This window comes from Homo sapiens, chromosome 6 (genome assembly GCF_000001405.40).
Source record: "Homo sapiens chromosome 6, GRCh38.p14 Primary Assembly".
Lineage (NCBI taxonomy): Eukaryota > Metazoa > Chordata > Mammalia > Primates > Hominidae > Homo > Homo sapiens.
The window spans coordinates 161,484,834-161,505,739 of NC_000006.12; the positions used below are offsets into that span (position 1 = coordinate 161,484,834).

The window sequence follows — 20,906 nt, forward strand, 5'->3', positions numbered from 1 at the left end:
TCTGACTCAAAGGTGTCTGCTCCTAACCACCTGCCTCTCAAAGGTGTCTGCTCCTAACCACCTGCCCCTCAAAGGTGTCTGCTCCTAACCACCTGCCTTTGCTGCCGCCGGCTTCCCCCTGCTTCTTTGAGGCAAAAATCAGGTCGGACTAGCATCAGTGGCAAAGGAACCAGTCAGATCAGCTCATGTGACAGCTTTGACAGACCAAGCATTTTGGTCACATATTAGCTTTTGAGAATCAATATGCATAGGCTGGAATGACACTTTCAGTAAATCAACATTCAGGCTATAACAAACCTATTAATATTCTGGGGAATTCATTGTGTACCGAGCCAGTCATTCAGATGACTATATGCCTTAGGTCTTTTTATGAAATAAATTAGATTTAATTTGGTAGGCTAGGCAGAGTAGGCAGAGAGTGCCTTGCATTTCCTGGTTATACTAGTGTGTGGTGTGATAAAAAACTGAATAGGCATCTCCATCAAATGATTCCTGTAATGTCCCCATTGGCTCTTTTGAAATAAAACCTGTGTCCTGTTTCCCTCTTCCTAATTCACCTTGCTCTTGCCTGTGTTCTATAATGGACAATGTGAACACTCAGACAGGGCTGATTTTCTAATCAATGGTAACAACTGGAGTTAGAAATGAAAATATTATCATAGTAAACTATATTTATTTTAAAGTCCATAGGCTAGTTTTCATCCCCTCCCAAACCACTCTAATTTATATAGGAGGGGGTCAAAGTTTAGAGGAATACGAAGATGTTTCTAAAATTTAGATGCAATATGTATAAGAGAGAAGCTTCTACTTGTGATGAATTAGTTAGAAATCAAAATTTTTTTGGACAGATTCACTTGAGAGAATGAAGAAAATTCAAGTAGAGAGAGGTATCCTGAGAAAAACAGAATATTTTAGACTGAACTGGGATAATCTGGAGACTTAGAACAATAATATATAAGGCTTTATATATTATATATATATTGCTTTATATTGAAATTTCATGGAATTATTTTAGCTCTTAAAGTATAGGAAAATCAGTTAAAGATGGAAACACTGATGAATCTAATGAGAATTTTAAACATATAAGTTTATTTATCTTAAACTGTAAGATTCTATTAGGCTTTAAGACTATAATTTTATGGACTGTGAAAGTTCTAAGGTCCCTTAAGATTATGTAGAAGAGATGTTTACTTTTTAGCAAAGAAAATATTGTCCAGAAACCCATTTTTTAGAAACAGATAAACTATTTATTTTTAATAAATTAAGCTTATTTTTGGTGAACACAAACTTTTGAAATTTAGTTTTGTGAAAGACACATGTAATCATGTATTATTTCGTTCTTTCTATATTTCATTACGTTGCCTAGATCAAGCAAACACTGATATACCCAGATAAGTGTGGCAAACAGTTATGTGTTTTTTTTAAACACCTCATTTTACAATTTTGTAATGCACTTTATTAAACAGAAACTTTAGCTCAAGGCTGCACAAAATAATGAATTTTCAGTTTCTGCTAAGAGTATGTATATGTTGTTTTTGTTTCTAAATAGTCTATGATATATTTAAAAATGAAATTTGAAGTCAGATTTCATGCATAGAACCATAAGGATTTTAGGAACGTGTTCTGACAAGCAGTGGTGTGAATACAGCTTCTCACATAAGAGGTGAGTTAACAGAGGCTCGGAGCAGATAAGTCACTGGTGCTGAGTCACAGGCTGGCAGAGCAAGGATCAGAATGCAGGTCCTCTGCCTTTTAAGCCTGCGTTCTTTTTGGTTCACACTGCCTCTATTATTAAATTACTTAATTTATCAGAGCAAAAAGCAAAACCTTAGGGATGCTATTAGCAATTTACTATTTCCAGTTCTTTTGGGAATCTGTTAATTGCCCTTTCATAAATGCTGCTCATTATGATTAAGACTTTGATTAAATGTGAAAGTCTAGGATTTATATGTTACAGACATATTTAATATTAATTTAAAGCACCAGAGCAGAATGAATTGTGCATTCCAATTTTTTAGCTCTATCATACACTCTTTAATCAAGGATTTTTCAAGAACTTGCTTTGTGCTAGCAGGACCTGATTTTTCCCCTCAGGAAGCTCACAGTTTAATTAAGGAGAGCTCATATTAGTAACAATGCACATCAGTGTCTGAGTAAGAGTTTAGGGGAGGTGTAGCTCGTCTTCATGGAGGTTAGGGGCAAGTGAGTTTAGTGAATAGGTGCCACGGAGTGAGACGGGGAAAGATGGGTGTCCTGGTTGAGGGGCGATGAGGTAAGAATGACTAATGCTTATGAACCATTGCCTGATAAACACTGTGCCCAGGACTGTATATGGATCATGTTTAATCCAAAAGCAATTCTGAGTGAAGTCCTATCCCTCAACCCTTTTTACAGGAGAAGACATTGAGGCATAGACCCATGAAGTGGGCTTGCTCAGTAACAACTGCTCAGTGAAGGGGCTGGGACTCCCAGCACTTGCCTGGTTCAGATCACACTACTGTCTCCTTCCTATACTGCCCCTTCGCCCATCTGTGTGAGCCAAGGCAAGGAAGACAGTCTGGGGCCTGTGGGATGGCAAAGGAATTTTCTAGAACTAAGAGTGTGTGTTGGGAAGGTAATGAGATGGGTTTGGAAAGGTTAGTTTGGGTAAAGCTTGAAAAGCCAGAAAAAGGATTTTAGCCCATGTTCTAAGCCTTCACCATTTTGTAGACCATCTTATTCACATTTTGATGGTCGCTTAGGTAAACTAAGATCTATTTTAGACTTGCAAACAACTACAAGGAGAAATTAGTTGAATAATATTAAATATTGACTACTGATATGATAATATGTGTATTCATGTAGGAGGTAGGGGTTGTGCCTTCTTTTCCATTCATTCAGAAAAAGCGCCTATGGAGGCTCGCGAATAGAGAGGCACCATGCTCATTGCTTTGGGCATACCCTGCCTCCAGCATGAAGTCTGGCACTAGGAATTTCCCATTAATGTTCAGTGAATGAATGAATGGAATTTCCTGCCCTGCTCCTTGCCTCCCTCCCTTCCCACCTCCCCCTACCTTCCTTCCTCTTTTTCTTCCCTCCCGTCATTAAACACATATTTACTGAATACCTACAAAACTTCTATGACTAAAACCAATGAGATTCTCCCATGAAATGGGGTGGAGAGAGGGGAAAGGCAGAAAATAAGCAAGGCAATTGAATAATGTAATTCCAGTTAGTGGTAAGTGATGAAGAAAGCAGGGCTGGCTTACAGGGTGAGATCGTGCAGTGGTTGGGGAAGGCATGGTCTAAGCAGGCCTCTCCTGGGAGGGGACACCTGTTTAGAGGGCTAAATGAATGGAGGCAGCCATGCAAAAAGCTGAAGGAAGGTCCTCCAGGAAGGGAGAGTCATGGCCCTAGGAAGAGGACAAGTCTGCTTCATTTAGAGAACACCATGAAGGGCCAGGGTACTGGAGCATTGTCAACAAGGGGAAAGTGATCGGGCCGAGGACAGAAGGCCAGGTCACATAGGTCTTTGTAGTGTGAGAAGAACTCCAAATTTTATTCTCCGGAGTGGAGCTGCTTAAACTGTTAGTATAAATTATAATGGAATTTAAGTAATGTTCACAGAGGAGCAGAGAAGATAACAGAGACCGAGAAGGACATCTGAATTTATTATATTTTAATTAATTTTTTTAGAGATAGGGTCTTCCTCTGCCACGTAGGCTGAAGTGTGGTGGTGCCATCATAGCTCACTGCATGAATTCCTGGGCTCAAGTGATCTTCCTGCCTCAGCCTCCTGAGTAGGTGGGACTAAAGGCATGCACCACCACACCTGGCTAATTTTTAAAATTTTTTGTAGAGGTGGGGTCTCACTATGTTGCCCAGGCTGGTCTTGAACTCGGCCTCAAGTGATCCTCCCACCTTGGCCTCCTGAAGTGTTGGGATTACAGGCGTAAGCCACCACACCTGGCATAACAAGGAATTTTTGACAGTGAATCTTGACTACTAAGAGACTAGGGGACCATGAAAGAAAACAGTACATTAACCAGGAAAAGGATGGCTGATACATTGAATGATGAAGAGGAATTAAGGCAATGGAAAATAGAACACAGACCCTTGGAGATGAAGAGGTCACGATTTACCATTGGCTGATAACCTACTGTGATGACATTTCTCAGGAACGAGGCGACTAGAAGAAAAACATGAAAGAAAAGGGGGCTAAGAGTTTTCAGAATTCTCACAATACTTTTTAAAAAGAGTCTCAAAAATCAAAACCAGTTTTGGCATACTGATTTCTAAGACATAATTCACTCTCCTTCTTCCTATCCCTCCCTTCCTTCCTTTTCTTAATAGAAATTGTTTTATTTATACATTTTGTATTTTAGTTGCCTTGTCAGTTAAGTGATTACATTCATACTGGAAAAAAAAAAACATGGGCAATATAATCATAAAAATACAAATTTCTGGCCGGGCACAGTGGCTCATGCCTGCAACCCCAGCACTTTGGGAGGCCGAGGTAGGTGGATCACCTGAGTTCAGGAGTTCAAGACCAGTCTGGCCAACATGGTGAAACCCTGTCTCTACTAAAAATACAAAAATTAGCCAGGCATGGTAGCACACACCTGCAGTCCCAGCTACTCAGGAGGCGAGGCAGGAGAATCACTTGAACTCCGGAGGGCAGAGGTTGCAGTGAGCCAAGATGGCGCCACTTCACTCCAGCCTGGGCGAAAGAGCAAAACTCCATCTCAAAAACAACAACAACAAACCCAAAACAAAAACAAATTTCTATATTTAAAAATGATGTATGTAATAATTTTTTTTTGCTATACTTGGAACTTTTTTTTTTAACCTACTAGGGATCTAATACATGAATTATTTATGCAGGAATTCCTAGATTGTCATTACTACAACACTTATGGTATATTTCTTCCTTGAATTGTTGAGACCTGATTTATTAGGTGAAGGATGACATTGTTTTCAAGGGAAAGGAATGCTGTTAAAAACCAAGCTGTTATACAAAGGCTTTCCTCCAGGCTCTGCAGGAACTCCCCAGTTCTTGGCTTGTTGCTGATTATGCTAACACCAACTTCTGGATTCATTTGAGTTCCGATGGCTCCTGCCATACTGCTCCCAATTACTTTAAGCTGGGCATCCAATTTCCACAGTAACTCCTGGGTTCTCCTTGCCCATCTGTTCCTGCAGTGGCATCAAGCCCCATAAAGAAGGTAGCTGTTAGGATATTCCAACTTAATGTCTTACCAGGAGGACCTAGACCAGCAATTACAATACAATGACGTAAGCATTTTCCTCCTCTAGTCAAGTTGAAGAAGAAAAGAGGAGCTGACAAACATAAGGCCAAGGAGTATCCCTGGTCACAAAGGCTTTGAACTCTTACCCAGGTGTGGAGAGCCATCTTTGGCATGCTCGCTCCCAGCACAAAAGTGCCATGGCGGTGGTCTGTCCCTCTAATCTACGTAAATCTCTCTACTTTTCTTTCTTGCTTGCTTGCTTGCTTGCTTGCTTGCTTTCTCTCTCTCTCTCTCTCTCCCTCTCTCTCTCTCTTTCTTTCTTTCCTTTTTTTTTTTTTTTTGAGACAGAGTCTCACTCTGTTGCCCAGGCTGGAGTGCAGTGGCATGATCTCAATCTCAGCTCACTGCAACATCTGCCTCCTGGGTTCAAGCGATTCTCCTGTCTCAGCCTCCCAAGTAGCTGAGCTTACAGGCAGGCACCACCACGCTCAGCTAATTTTTGTATTTTTAGTAGAGATGGGGTTTCTTCATGTTGGCCAGGCTGGTCTCAAACTCCTGACCTCAGGTGATCCTCCCACCTTGGCATCCCAAAGTGCTGGGATTACAGGTGTGAGCCACTGTGCACGGCCAGATCTCTCTACTTTTCATAGATACAGAGAGGGTTTGGCTGTGTGTCCCCACCAAATCTCATGTCAAATTGTAATCCCCAGTGTTGACTGGATTGTGGGGGTGGGGTTCTCATGCTTGTGTGAGCACCATCCCATCGGTGCTGTTCTCGTGATCATGAGTGAGTTATCGTGAGATCTGGTTGTTTAAAAGTGTGGTATCTCTCCTCCCTCTCTCTCTTCCCCCTGCTCCCGCCATATGAGATGCCTGCTCCCCTTTTGCCTTCTGCTGTGATTGAAAGTTTCCTGTGGCCTCTCCAGAAGCCAAGCAGGTGCCAGCATCATGCTTCCTATCCAGCCTGTGAAACCATGAGCCAATTAAACATCTTTTCTTTATAAATCACCCAGTCTCCGGTATTTCTTTATAGCAGTGCGAGGATGAACTATTACAGATACCATTGCCTGTGTTCAGATTTCTTTAGAGTCGAGCACTTTCAGTTATATATCAGATGACTTCAAGATCTTTTGAAATGATTTGGTTCTCTTAGAAAACTTCGTATGGACAGTTGGGTAGGTGGCTGGGCTGATGGGCAGGGTGATGCCTGAAGGAAGAAGGATCGTACTCATTCATTTCCCCAAGGCTTTCTCGATTGCTCTGTGAACCACACAGGGAGCGTGAGAGGGCGTTGATGGGGTTTGTTTCAGGATGCTCTACTGCACCTGGCTGAACATCGTTTGTTGGGTTGTTCTTGTTAGTCCAAAGGGAGAGGGAGTCTAAGAGTATAATGTGAGTTGGAATCTTGGAGAAACAACTTACAAAGCTTGTGATTTGGGCAAATCCACTCTCTGCACCTTTCAGTGCTGGCATATTAGGTAAAGACACACATTTCAGAGTGGCATGTAGAGAAGTTCAAATCCCAGCCATTTCATTTGCTCCTGGAACTTTGTACGGGAAAGTGACTTAACTTCCTTTTTTTTTTTTGAGATGAAGTCTTTCTCTGTCACCCGGGCTGGAGTGCAATGGCGCGATCTTGGCTCACTGGAACCTCTGCCTCCCAGGTTCAAGCAATTCTCCTGCCTGAGCCTCCTGAGTAGCTGGGATTACAGGTGCCTGCCACCATGCCCGACTAATTTTTGTATTTTTTAGTAGAGATGGGGTTTCACCATGTTGGCCAGGCTGGTCTCGAACTCCTGACCTCAGGTGATCCACCCATCTCGGCCTCCCAAAATGCTGGGATTACAGGCGTGAGCCACCGTGCCCGGCCTATGACTTAACTTCTTTAACCTTGTTTTTTATCCTTTCTAAACAAGGGTCAAAACATTACCTTCCTCATAGGATTGTTGGGAGAATTAAGTAAGGTAAAACTCATAAGACATATAAGAACTGCCATCAAGTAAATGCTCAGTACATGTTAGCTGTCATCCATCTCGTTGTTGAGAACCAAATTAAATATCACTCTATAAGTGAAAGCACTTTGTTAAGACCTAAATCAATGTTAATTATTATAATGATGAGGTTGAGTATTGCTTCATCCTTGATGCTACTCTCCTCAGTAACTTTGCCAATGATTTAAAGATGTAGAAGCTATTCTTGTCAGATGGATGGCACAGGCCCGGGGTGGGTCTCCTGGTAGGACAAGACCAAGATTATGGCCTATGGTCTTGGACAAGACCAAGATTATGGTGACAGTTGAAATTGATAAGGGGTAAAAGTAAAAGTTTCTTTTATGTTCAAAAATGAGGTGCATTAAGAACTCCTGGGAGGAGACCCAGCTTGGAAGCAGTCAACGTGAAAAGTTCCTGGGGGTTTTAGTTGATGGTCAGCTAATGCTGTTTTGGGCTGAAGACCAGAACTGCTAAATTCCATCTCTAATCATAAGATAGTTGAAATTTTGTACTTTGTTCTAGACACCACATATTAGGAGGGCCTTATTATATTAGGTAGAAAGAACCTTGGCAAGTCAGTGTTTTGAAAATACGGTGGGTGAAGGACCTTTAAATGTTTGAAGTTGCCATCTAAAACAAGGATTATACATGCTTCTTGCTAGCATGGAAAGTGAAACTGTGACAGAGAAGTGGGTACTGGTGAGAGAAAGAATATAATTTCACAAAAGAAAAAACTCAGTAGTAATCTCTGCAGCCAAAATGGCATGCATTGATGAACGTGGTGTTCCCAGTGGATCTGAGTAGAGGCTGGTGATTGTGGGAAGATTCTCACACTGGGTGTCATGTTAGACCAGCTGACCTCTAAGGGCCCTATCATGTTTTATGATTTTATAATATAGCAGGCTGTACAGACCATTTTTAATATAGTCTTAATTTTTATAAAAATGTATTCATGCATATATACATAGTTATAAAACATAACCGTTAAATTCTAGTTAAATGCCACCAAAGATAAAAATAATAAAGTAGCTTCAAATTGTACTTATTGCAAGGTGACCTATCTGAAATGTCTTCTTGGTCATATTATAAGAGGACTTAAGATGCCAAAGGGGAGGATCATAGCCTATTCATATTTCCATCTCCCACAAAGTGTCTGGCACACATGTAATAATTAAAGTAGACAATCTTTATTGAATGTTCTCTTGTTTAAAGAAGTATTTTAAGCCCATTATATTTAATAATTCACTTAACCATCAAAACTGCTCAATAATTTTGACACTATCATTATTCCATTTGACCCATGAGGACACTGGCACTCACTGGGGTTTAAATGACTTGGCCAACATCACACATCTAATAAGTGCCAGGGCTGAGATTTGAACTCAGAAAGTCTGGTTCCAGAGCTTGTGTTCTTTACCATCACACTCTACTGCCTCTGCTAATGGAAGGTACTCGGTCAGTGTTTATCCAGTTGATGAACTGATGGATAGATGGACGAACGGAAGGACTAACGGGGGTTGCAGCACAGAGTCGCCTGAATATGTGGCAATGAACAAAGAAGGGCACAGATTACACGAAGAGCAGATGCAGAAAGGGCCGATGAGGGAGGGACGCTGGCAACACCTCAGTCACTGCTCTTCTTTGAGTTGATTCCGCATAGAGCATCTTAGGGTGAAACAGAACGACGTGCATTAGCACAGAGAAGCAAAAGCTTCTTCTCTTGGGTTCCTCCTCTTCCTTTGCAGAGGAGATGTTTTCTGTCAGAATGATTAGTTAGAAGTGAACAGTGAAGTCCTTCAATTAGCATTCCTTCAAAATGCCATCTGTAAGTGACTAAAGAAGTGACAGCCAGAAGGCAGAACACAGGGCTATCTCCGCACAGACAAGACAAGAGCCGGGAAGGCAGGGACGCTCGATCAGCCGTTTCCAGCAATGTTAACGGGTCCACCCACTAAACTAAACAAATGCTTTCTTCCTACCATGGAGACAGAAACTGAAAAATAATTTTTGACAGCACTGTATGATTTAGTGGGTGCTTGCAGACACAGCCTATACTTAGTTTTATACCATATTTAATAGAACATTTCAAACTTTCATAATTATTTGGCAGCTTTTAAAAAATAAAAAATAAATAAATAAATAGCAAATGCCCACTGGGTTACTCAGTGCAATGAAAATACCGTATCATCAGGACTTTGTGATGTCTTGGCAACTCTTACCCCAACTCTATCCAACACCTGCTCTCCAGGTAGGTCAAGGTCAATATACTTGACTACTTCAAAGCCTCAACAAAAATGTTCTCCATCACCATGTTATCAGGTGTCCACGTCAGCTGAGAAGCCTGACTGGTCCTTTTCATGCCTGTGGAACAAGGGACTGAATCTTAAGGAGAGTGGAGACCTTGTGTTACTTACATTCTGCATTCAAGAAACTATTTCTATGAAGTTTAATGATCAATGATGCTTTTTCCTTCAAAACTATCCAAAGATTTCAAATCTGTTTGTGCAAGGAGGCACTGGATTGAACTGAATTTCTAGTTTCTTCATCGACTGGTTCCTTCATTCAGTAACAAAACTGAACATTTTAATGTGCTGATACTGTGTGAGAGCTTTACACACATTAACTGATTTAATCAGTATGAAAACGGTCTGCAATAAGCACATGTATTCCCATCTTACGGGCAAAGAAATGGGCTGGAGAGGTTTCAGGAACATGCTCCAGCTGGCTGAGGTGCATCTGATGAACTCTGTGCTTCCAGTGAACTTGTAAGATCCAAGTCTCCAGGCGAACATCAAGTTCTTCTAGGATTCATCCCCAGCCTTTCCCCAGTCTTCTAGGACTCCTCTCCCTTGCTCCGCCTTGAACTCTGTTGTTGACATCTTTCTTGCCCTCTACACCGTTAAACGATTCTAGAGTGGTGCTATACATTGGAAATAAAATGCGAGCCACACATATAAATTGTATTTTAATATCCACTTTAGGAAAGCAAAAAGAAGCAGGTGAAAGTGATTTTGATAATATATTTTATTTACCACAATATATCAAAAAATTTATTTCATCCTGTAATCAGCATAAAAATTACTAATAAGATATCTTATATTCTTCTATGGTATTAAGTCTTTGAAATCTGGTTTGTATTTTACATTTGCAACACACCTCCCTTCGGACTACCCACATTTTGAGTGCTCCAAGGACGCTGGCTAGTGGCCACTGCATTGCCCGGCATATCCTAGGGGAGGGAAGGAATCCTTAGTTGTTAACGTGTCAGACAACATGCTATGGCTCATAGTTGTCCTCCTGATGTGTATCTTCTCCTCCCGATGTGTATCTTCTCCTCCCGTCTGCAGTATAAGAAGCCTTCACTGGGCACGTGTCTGCCAGGTACAGACTACATTCCCTGGCCTCTCCTGCACTCAGGGTCCCATGTGACTGGATCTGGCACCTGAGATGTAAACGAAAGTGAAGCGTGCCATTTCTGGGTTACGCCCTTAAAGAAGGCATGTTCCCAGCCCTTCTCCTTCTCTCTTTGTGCAAGCTGGAAGGCAGGTATGGTGCCAGTCACCTTCAACCACCTGAGCACGCTCAAGGGACAGCAGAGCCACAGACGGGAGCTTCTGTTTCCTTACCACAGAGCCAGCCATGGGGACCATGTCCTGAGAGAAAGAGGTTCCTGTTTTGTTCACACAACTATTGTTCATCTATGACAAGCACGGTCATCTTCATTTACTTTCATCATTTCTAGAATCTAATTCCGTGCTCTCTTGGTGGGGTTAGACCCAACTCTTCCTTCAGGTCTCAGTGAAGCTTTATTTCAGCAGGGAGGCCTTTCTAATGTTCTGAAGACTAGGTTACAGCCCTCACTCCATACTACCATGGCACCCTGAGCTTCCCCTTTCTCAGCATCCGTGCACAGGGTTATTTAATGTTGGTGTTCGTTCTAGACCTCTGTGTCATGGGGGCATGCTGTGACCATCTTCTGGGCACTTGGCACAGTGCTTAGCACATAGAAGTGCCAAACATTTGTTCAAAGAATAAATGTAATTAAGAGGCTTAACATGTAAGTGATGTGCTCTTGCCCTTCCCGGTTTGATGGGAATACAGAATCTCTTTAGATTTTCCTGGTTCCTGTTAGAGAGCATCAGAATGACAGTGCACACAGGCAAGGCTAGCTGGGAGGATCGAGTGGCCTGAGTGTCATGGGTTGAGTTGTATCCCTTACAAAGATATGCTGATGTCCTAACACCCAGTACCTTGGAATGAGATCTTCTTTGGAAATAGTGTCATTGTGGATGTAATTAGTCAAGGTAAGGTGTATTAGTCTGGTCTCATGCTGCTAATAAAGACATACTCGACACTGGGTAATTTATAAAGGAAAGAGATTTAACTGACTCACAGTTCCACATGGCTGGGGAGGCCTCACAATCATGGCGGAAGGCCAATGAGGAGCAAAGGCACGTCTTACGTGGTGGCAGGCAAGAGAGCATGTGCAGGGGACCTCCCCTTTATAAAACCATCAGATCTTGTGAGACTTATTCACTACCACAAGGACAGTATGGGGAAAGCCACCCCCATGATTCAATTATCTCCACCTGGCCCAGCCCTTGATCTGTGGGGATTATTACAATTTAAGGGATATTTGGGTGGGGACACAGCCAAACCATATCATAAGGTCATACCAAAGTAGGTTGGCTCTAACTGAAACATGGCTGGCATCCTCAGAAGAAGAGGAGGGAGACACAGCAAGAAGGTGGCCATGAGATGATGGGAGCAGAGACTGGAGTGACACAGCCACAAGCCAAGGATTGCTGGCAAACACCAGAAGCCAGAAGATGCAAGGAGGGATTCTTCCCCATGGGTTTCAGAGGAACATGACCTTGGAGGCACCTTGATTTCAGACTTCTGGCCTCCAGAACCGTGAGACAACACATTTCTGCTGTTCTACGCCACCCGGCTTGTGGCACTTTATAATGGCAGCCCTAGGAGCAAATACATCAAGGCAGAAAACCCGTCACAAACCTGCTGGCATGCCCGTTCCTCCTGGCTACGACTCCACAGCCTGTTCCCAGGGGTCAGCCCACAGGCCAGGGCCAGGCGGCATTGCTGGCTAGTGGCCTGCAGGAGGGGCACTTATCAGTACTTCCTCACTCCCAACATGAAAAGTCAGGTAAAGAAGTACAGGAAGCTCTGCCAAGGAGTGGAAGGGATTTGTACCTCCTTAGGACAACTTCCCAGGTAAGGGCGAGTGGAGGACAGGGTGTCCCCACTACAGGAAGAAAGAGAGACATCATCATTCAGCTCTCACAGACATTCCTCCTTCAAAACAGACCCTCTGGCAAAGGTTATCCTTTAAAGAAAAAAAAGTTCTTGCTCCTCTGTCTTGAACTGGGAATAAATTAGGAGAGATAAGAGACAGATATTACTCCTTTTTAAAACTCTGTATTCCCATTGAAAAGAGTCAAGGGTACAATTCTCAAGTCTGTGTGTGTGCACAGTGCTTACATGTCTCTCTCTCTCTCTCTCTCTCTCACACACACACACACACACACCATATCCCACTTACAGACTGAATACTTTGCACCACAAAGTATTTTCAGCTGCTCTTCTCGCTCCTTTCCCTTTCAATTCAGAAGGCTAACTCTAGCTCAATTATCTCTTCCTTTTGACAGAATTCACATCAAATGCAAACAAGATGAGACCAGGATTCTGCCTGGTTCTGTTGCCAAGGTGGGTGGGAAGTCGGCAGCAGGGATCAGTAGCTGTAGCTGCTTCAGCCTTTGTTGAGGCTAACTCTCCTCCCAAGGTGTCTCAAATAGAAAGGCTTGTTCCTGATGCTTTCCAATTATTTTCACTTCAAAGAAATACTTTAATATATTTAGTTCAAATTGCATGATGGTAATTATGCTTCTAAATCTGATCAAATGACGGGAGAGAGGAAACCTTTGCTTCCATGAGGGGATATTTGTTCTTCAATAGATGGGTCTAATTTTCCACAGTGGGAGGACTCACAAGCACTGAGACTGGCTTTTTTCATTAGTTATTTATAAAGCTCTTATTAGATTGGTTAAATTCACATGTGGGAAAAAAGACAAATTATTGTTAATCAATTTCTAACCTATACTATTCATAATTTAGCTGATAGAAACCTCTGCTCACCAAGGGGATTTTTATTCAGGCTGCAAATCAGTATCATGTTATAGAGTGTATTAATTAATAAATGGAATATTTAGCTTTTTATAATTAGTGTTTGTATTTATTACATTTGTTATGTTACTCCTCTCCTCAACGATCCCATTATAATTCCTATTCCTCAGTAAATAAAAGCTCACTCTCTGGTTTGGAATTCAAGCCTCCTCCCAACACACCACATGACCCCGCCGTGCCAGCCATTCACACTGCTCACAGGGTCTTCAGCTCCCTTCTCCCTGAGAGCTTGTGGGAAGGGTGTGCTGTCCTAACCCAGTTAGATGTCGTCAAATGCCTTGTTTGGCCAATGAAATGTGGGTGGCAATGACATGTGTAACTTGAGGCCAGAGCCTTTAATTTCTGGCACTCAACTCTCCATCCCTCCCACCATCCTGCTTCCTGAAGGAAGGGCTCCACCTGCCGACCCTGATGGAGAACGAGGTCACATCAGTCTCCCTGCCAACCCTATTGGACAGGCCTTACGCGTGAGAAACAAACCTTTGTTGTTTCAAACCACTGAAATGTTGAAGTTGTTTGTTACTGCAACAGACTTTAGTCTGTGCTGACTAATACATCCAGGATATTCTTTGGGAATTCTAGCGGCTACATTCTATTTTTCAAGTGAAATATGCTTTGGAACACCTATACATAATAAAAGCAGAGATGGTCATGTTGAAGAGTGAGATGGGGTGAGTGTGTGTGTATGGGGATGGGGGAGGATTGAGATTCTTCTTTATCTTCTACTGAAGCCCCCGATGCTTTGCAACCTCCGCACATTTCTCAGAACTCAGGCTGAAACCCTGTGATCTAGTCCAAACCAACCTTCCCAGCTAGGGTTTCGTTCAAAGGTCACAACTGGTGGCTTGTGAGCAGGGTCTGGACACACACACACACACATTTTTTTTTTTTTTTTGGCTCACAGAGTGCTTGAAAAGAATCTAAGACAACATTTACAGATTGGGAGATCAACGTAAAAGATGCATCCTAAACTTCCCTTGCTAAAGTGAAGAATGAGGACACCCTGGGCCTCCACTCCTTCCCTTCAGTTGCTATTTGTCATTACACATAAATGTCTGTTGCATATAGGGAAATATTTCTGTCCCATGTCTCTATCAAAAGTGGGAAAGGGCTGTGTTTTTCTAAAAGTAAGAGAAAGAGTGTATTTCTTTGTGGAGTGCATAATTCTCCTAAGTATGAAAGTGAAAAGCTAAGATCAGTGTTTCCCACCCCTCATTTCTCTCGTTCATGTCACCTGTTGCTTCTTATTGGCTTTGGAATGTGGGACCTCTCTTCTAGCCTCTTGCATCTACCTCTATGGTTTGACTTCTGAAAATGTGGTCCCTGGTCCACCTGGATCCAAGTTAGCTGAGTTGCTCGTGAAAAATGCAGATTGCAGGTTTCATTTCAGACCTACTGGATTCGAGGTGGTGGTGGTTTCTGCATTTTCCATAAGTAACCCTTTCCCTTGACAATTCTTAGGCACAATTAATCTTGAGAATTACTGCTCTGTGGCTGAGGTCATCATATATTCAGAACCAAGTTCTACGAATGGGTAAAGAATTTTTATTCTCTTCTAGCTTTGAAAGACCCTTCAGAAGGTAGAATTTGGATGCCAAAATGCTATGATTTCTGAAATGGTGTCCAGGAATAATACAATGAATTATTTGAAACCGCAGCTGTTCCCAAGATTACAGATAAACTGAACACCAAGTTGTCTTCTGAATGCTGCCCTCACTCTCCTCCTTCCCCACTTTTGTTCATGCAGTGTCTTTGCCAAAAGTCCTTCGGCCATGTTTCCTTACAAAATCTCACGCATCTTTAAGGTGCAGTTGAAATGTTAATGAAAATCAATGCATCCTTACTATTATCTAAAGTCAGTTGTGTCAAAACTTTTAGAATTTTTCATTTTTCAATAGAGATTATTTTTAAAGACAGTTTAATTTCACGGCAAAATTGAGCAGAGTACAGAGAGCTCCCCTCTCCCCTCTCCCCTATACATGCACAGCCTCCCCCACTATCAGTGTTCCCCACAAGAGTGGTACATTTGTTATAAATGCAAAATGTACATTGACACATCATCACCCAAAGTCCTCAGTTTACATGAGGTTCACTCCTGGTGCTGTACTTCCTATGGGTTTGGACAAATGTATAACATTTATCCACCTCTGCAGTATTATACAAAAGAGTTTCATGGTCCTGAAAACCCTCAGTGCTCCACATACTCATCCTTTCCTCCCCAAACCCCTGACAATCATGGATCTTTTTACTGTGTCCAGAGTTTTGCCTTTTCTAGAATATCATATAGCTGAAACCACACAGTATGTAGTCTTTTCAGATTGGCATCTTTCACTGGTAATATGCACTTAAGGTTCCTCTATGTCTTCCCATGGCTTGACAGTACGTTTCTTTTTAGCATGGAATAATATCTCACTGTCTGGAAGTACCAGTTTATTTATCCATTCATCGACTGAAGGACACCTTGGTTGCTTCCCAGATTTGTCAATTATGAATAAATCTGCTGTCAATATCTGTATGAAGGTTTAGTTGTATACATAAGTTTTCAACTAATTCAAGTAAATACCAAGAAGCATGTTTGCTAGATCATATGGTAAGCGTATGTTTAGTTTAGTTTTTTTTTTTCTTTTTTTTTTTTTTTTTGAGACCAAGTCTCCCTCTGTCGCCCGGGCTGGAGTGCAATGGCGCAATCTTGGCTCACTGCAACCTCCGCCTCCTGGGTTCAAGCGATTCTCCTGCCTCAGACTCCCAAGTAGCTGGGACTACTGGTACTCGCCACCATGCCTGGCTAATTTTTGTATTTTTAGTAGAGACGGGGTTTCACCATATTGCCAGGCTAGTCTCGAACTCCTGACCTCGTGATCTGCCTGCCTCAACCTCCCAAGCGCTGGGATTACAGGCAAGAGCCATTGTGCCCGGCTGTGTTTAGTTTTCTAAGAAACTGCCAGACTGTCTTCCAAAGAGACTGTACCATTTTGCATTCCCACCAACAGTGAATGAGAGTTCCTGGAGCTCCACATCCTCCCCAGCATCTGGTGGCATCCATGTTTTGGGTTTTGGCCATTTTAGTAGGTGTGTAGAGGTATCTCATTGTTTTAATTTGCAAATGCCAAATGACATATGATGTTGAACATCTTTTCATATGCTTTTTTGCATCTGTATATCTTTTTTCGGTGAGGTTTCTGTTCAGCTCTTTTGCCCATTTTTAATCTTGTTGATAGTTTTCTTACTGTCAATTTTGAAAAGTTCTTTGTATATTTTGGTAATAGTCCCTTTATCCGATAGGTCTTTTGCAATATTTTCTCCCAGACTGTTGAATGCTTTTTTTTTAATGGTTGGTCTGTTTCCAGGAATCAGAAATCAGGCTTCACACCCAGCCCAGATGTTCAAGTGGTTGTTTGACTTGTCTGCCATCTGCAACTGTCTCTCTTCTGCTTTGTACTCCACGCCTCTCAGATGCTGGAGAAACTGGTCATTTGTTCTCTATAGCATCTCACATTGTGAATTTGTACAAGGCTCAGTGGCTTCTTGAGCCATGGGTTGTGTGGGTCTATAAACCAAACAGACAGGCCTTGGACAGACAGGGGTTTCCTTCAGGCAGCACAGCCTCAGCCACAGCAGCATCCTGAGGCTGAGGATGTAACACCAAGATATGAAGATATAACCCTACGTTTCTAAGATGCGGCTGTTCTGGGGGAAGATATAACACTACGTTTCTAAGATGCGCTGTCAGTGAGTGACATGAGAGAGAAAGTCTGCATGTCTTAGTTATCAGCCATGTGAGAAGGAATACCTGGATCACTGAATCATCTGGGCATAAAAGCTTTTTTATGAGTTGTGTTAAAAACTGCTTTTTGTGGATCACATGAAGCAACTCTGAAATGCATTATCCTGATCATCATTGTTGCTAATCATGTCCATTTTGGGCCATGCACTGCACATGCTTATCATTAGTCAATTGATTAAGTTTGCACTCTTTGGGAGAGGCACTACTCCTATCCCTATGTTATAGCTGAGGACGCTGAGACATAAAGAGATTAAGACGCTGTCAACCAAGCCAATAACAATATTTTCTCTAAGCTCATGAACAATGTTTGGCTGTGCAGAAAACCAATGACATCAAAAGGAGAGCTTCTAGAAGTAAACATGACTGATGGTAAAGGACCCCTTCTAACCAACCCTGGGAAATTAGCAAGGTTTCCCAGCACCCCAAGCTACTTGCCTTCCCACCCCTTCTCTTCTGAAGCAACATCCCGACTCTGGAATCCATTCCCACATTTAAAAAATGGGATAATGTGAGCTGTCATTTATGTGCATTGACTGGTAGGGATGAGGATAGTAAGAGTATCCTGAAGGAGGGGACCAGTAACAAGCAGGGAAGAGAGAAATGGGGGATTTGGGAGTAGCAACCTCTGGAGTACCAGTGCATTTATGGAAAGATAATAGTTAGAACACAGTGTTATCGGCTAGGACTAATGATGGTGGAGCAGTGTCGGTGAGGGTATGAGGTGGCTCTGATCCATGCTCTACGGTGAATGTGTGGGAAGGACAGGTGTGGAATGGTTATAAGTACATGCTCTGGAGTAGAAGGCTCTGGATTAAAAACCTGACTCCACAGCTTAGTAGGTGCGTAACCCTGGGGATGTCGCTTAATTGCTTTAACCTTCACTTTCTTCATTTTAATTGTAGGAGGAGAACAGCACTTACTTCATGCATTTGTGGCAAGGATTGAGTTAGATGATACATATCCAATGTTAAGCACCATGTCTGATAGAAACTTCTTAATATGTTGGAAATCTTACTATTTTATGGTTGATGAACGAATGGTTCTAGTGACTTTCAGGGTATGTCTTCTGGCCCAAGGCTAACAGCAGGTGTGTATTATAAAGGCAAACTGATCTCCCATGTAGAGGGAGGAGATGGGATCTGGAAGGCCTGGGTGCTACTTGTAATACTAGATTGACTAAAAGGAGGGTAGAACGGGAGGGGGCTGCTGCTGTACCGTAGAGTCTTGATGAATTTATGGCTGTCATTCTGAAGATTTTAATCTTGTCTGAACAAGTCATAAAAAAGTCTTTTATACAATAGCCAAGACTCATGAACTTCTGTTTGCTGCACACTGTGCTCTTTCTGTGGGTTATTCAGGTCATTCTCACCACAAATATATGGGATAAGTACCATTTTCATCCTAAATAACCTCTGCCACTAAATAACCTTTGCCCCCACTGCACTAAGACTTTTACATGTTTTAACTCACTTAATGGCTGCAACGGCCCCAGGAGGTAGATACTTATTAATTACCCTCATTTAACAGAGGTTTATGGAGGTGAGGGACTGGACTGAGGGGGCTATGGGGGCGACCTAGTCTAGCTGGGTTCTAAGGCAGTTGCTCTGCCCCCAGAGCCCTGCTTCGAGAGCCTCTATGCTTCTATGAAGGTCACAACCAGAAGCAGTCCGGCCTGCAGTTGCTGTTTTAAAAAAGAGGTTGTAAACATCACTCACTGCACCACAGGGTGGCCGTGACACAAAGTCAGATGTGAGCATTCTTTTAGAATCCACTGTGAGGAAAAGCCTGCTTCCCCCAGGAATCCACAGGCTTCTATTCTGATAATGATGATTATATCACCACCAGAGTCCCCTTCAGCCTTGATCATTGAGACACCCTAGACAGGGGGAAAGCATTGAAGAACCTCTGTGGTCAACCTAATTCTTTGCTATATCCATGATCTGGATTTTCAGCCTTGACTTCTAGTTTATTATGATAGTGTTAGGTCTGTCCTTGTTACATGAGGAAAGGTATTAATATATTTAAAAAGCTATACCGATGACATGGGTATAGAGACAGAAGATGTGACTTCTTATAGTTAGAGGTCAAAAAGCCATAAGATATTCAATAACTTAGAGGCTTGAAGAAAGATCCCAAAGGGTCTCCAAGGCTGGAAGGATGGGCTGAACCGAACCACAAGAAATCTAATGAGGGTGACTTAAAGGCATGAACACAGCGTTATCTGCACCTCAGAGCTGGGCAAGGTCTGACTCCCTGAGGAAGAGCCGGCAGGGATTGCCATGGGGACCACTCCCTGCCAGGCATAGCCTTTTCCCAACCCTGAGCGTCCGAGCAGGGTTTCAGGCAGGGCGGGTCGGAAACCTCAGGTGTGCGGGGATGGGAAAAGGGGGTGAACCCTGTGTTCCCCAGACCTGTACTGACTGAGTCATGTTACAAGTCAGGAGTTGTTGCAGGGATAAATGGGAACAGACCAAACACTGTGAAACTTTCTTTTTTATTATTATACTTTAAGTTTTAGGGTACATGTGCACAATGTGCAGGTTAGTTACATATGTATACATGTGACATGCTGGTGCGCTGCACCCACCAACTTGTCATCTAGCATTAGGTATATCTCCCAATGCTATCCCTCCCCCCTCCCCCCACCCCACAACAGTCCCCAGAGTGTGATGTTCCCCCTCCTGTGTCCATGTGTTCCCATTGTTCAATTCCCACCTATGAGTGAGAATATGCGGTGTTTGGTTTTTTGTTCTTGCGATAGTTTACTGAGAATGATGATTTCCAATTTCATCCATGTCCCTACAAAGGAAATGAACTCATCATTTTTTATGGCTGCATAGTATTCCATGGTGTATATGTGCCACATTTTCTTAATCCAGTCTATCATTGTTGGACATTTGGGTTGGTTCCAAGTCTTTGCTATTGTGAATAGTGCTGCAATAAACATACGTGTGCATGTGTCTTTATAGCAGCATGATTTATAGTCCTTTGGGTGTATATCCAGTAATGGGATGGCTGGGTCAAATGGTATTTCTAGTTCTAGATCCCTGAGGAATCGCCACACTGACTTCCACAATGGTCGAACTAGTTTACAGTCCCACCAACAGTGTAAAAGTGTTCCTATTTCTCCACATCCTCTCAAGCATCTGTTGTTTCCTGACTTTTTAATGATCGCCATTCTAACTGGTGTGAGATGATATCTCATTGTGGTTTTGATTTGCATTTCTCTGATGGCCAGTGATGGTGAGCATTTTTTCATGTGTTTTTTGGCTGCATAAATGTCTTCTTTTGAGAAGTGTCTGTTCATGTCCTTTGCCCACTCTTTGATGGGGTTGTTTGTTTTTTTCTTGTAAATTTGTTTGAGTTCATTGTAGATTCTGGATATTAGCCCTTTGTCAGATGAGTAGGTTGCAAAAATATTCTCCCATTTTGTGGGCTGCCTGTTCACTCTGATGGTAGTTTCTTTTGCTGTGCAGAAGCTGTTTAGTTTAATGAGATCCCATTTGTCAATTTTGGCTTTTGTTGCCATTGCTATTGGTGTTTTAGACATGAAGTCCTTGCCCGTGCCTATGTCCTGAATGGTAATGCTTAGGTTTTCTTCTAGGGTTTTTATGGTTTTAGGTCTAACGTTTAAGTCTTTAATCCATCTTGAATTGATTTTTGTATAAGGTGTAAGGAAGGGATCCAGTTTCAGCTTTCTAC

The 20,906-nt window shown here is 42.4% G+C and overlaps 1 protein-coding gene across 6 annotated transcripts in view, besides 1 other annotated feature; it reads right to left on the reverse strand.

Annotated features, from left to right (window-relative positions):
* PRKN (parkin RBR E3 ubiquitin protein ligase) overlaps positions 1-20,906 on the reverse strand; it is a 1,380,350-nt gene that overhangs the window by 137,417 nt on the left and 1,222,027 nt on the right. The gene's annotated exons all lie outside the window — the stretch shown is intronic.
* Positions 13,481-13,982: an enhancer, noted in NCBI's record as "NANOG hESC enhancer chr6:161919346-161919847 (GRCh37/hg19 assembly coordinates)". NCBI's record gives its function as "activates a minimal SCP1, AML or CMV promoter by ChIP-STARR-seq in naive H9 embryonic stem cells {active_cell/tissue: H9 hESC(naive)}" and the evidence as "EXISTENCE:reporter gene assay evidence [ECO:0000049][PMID:30033119]".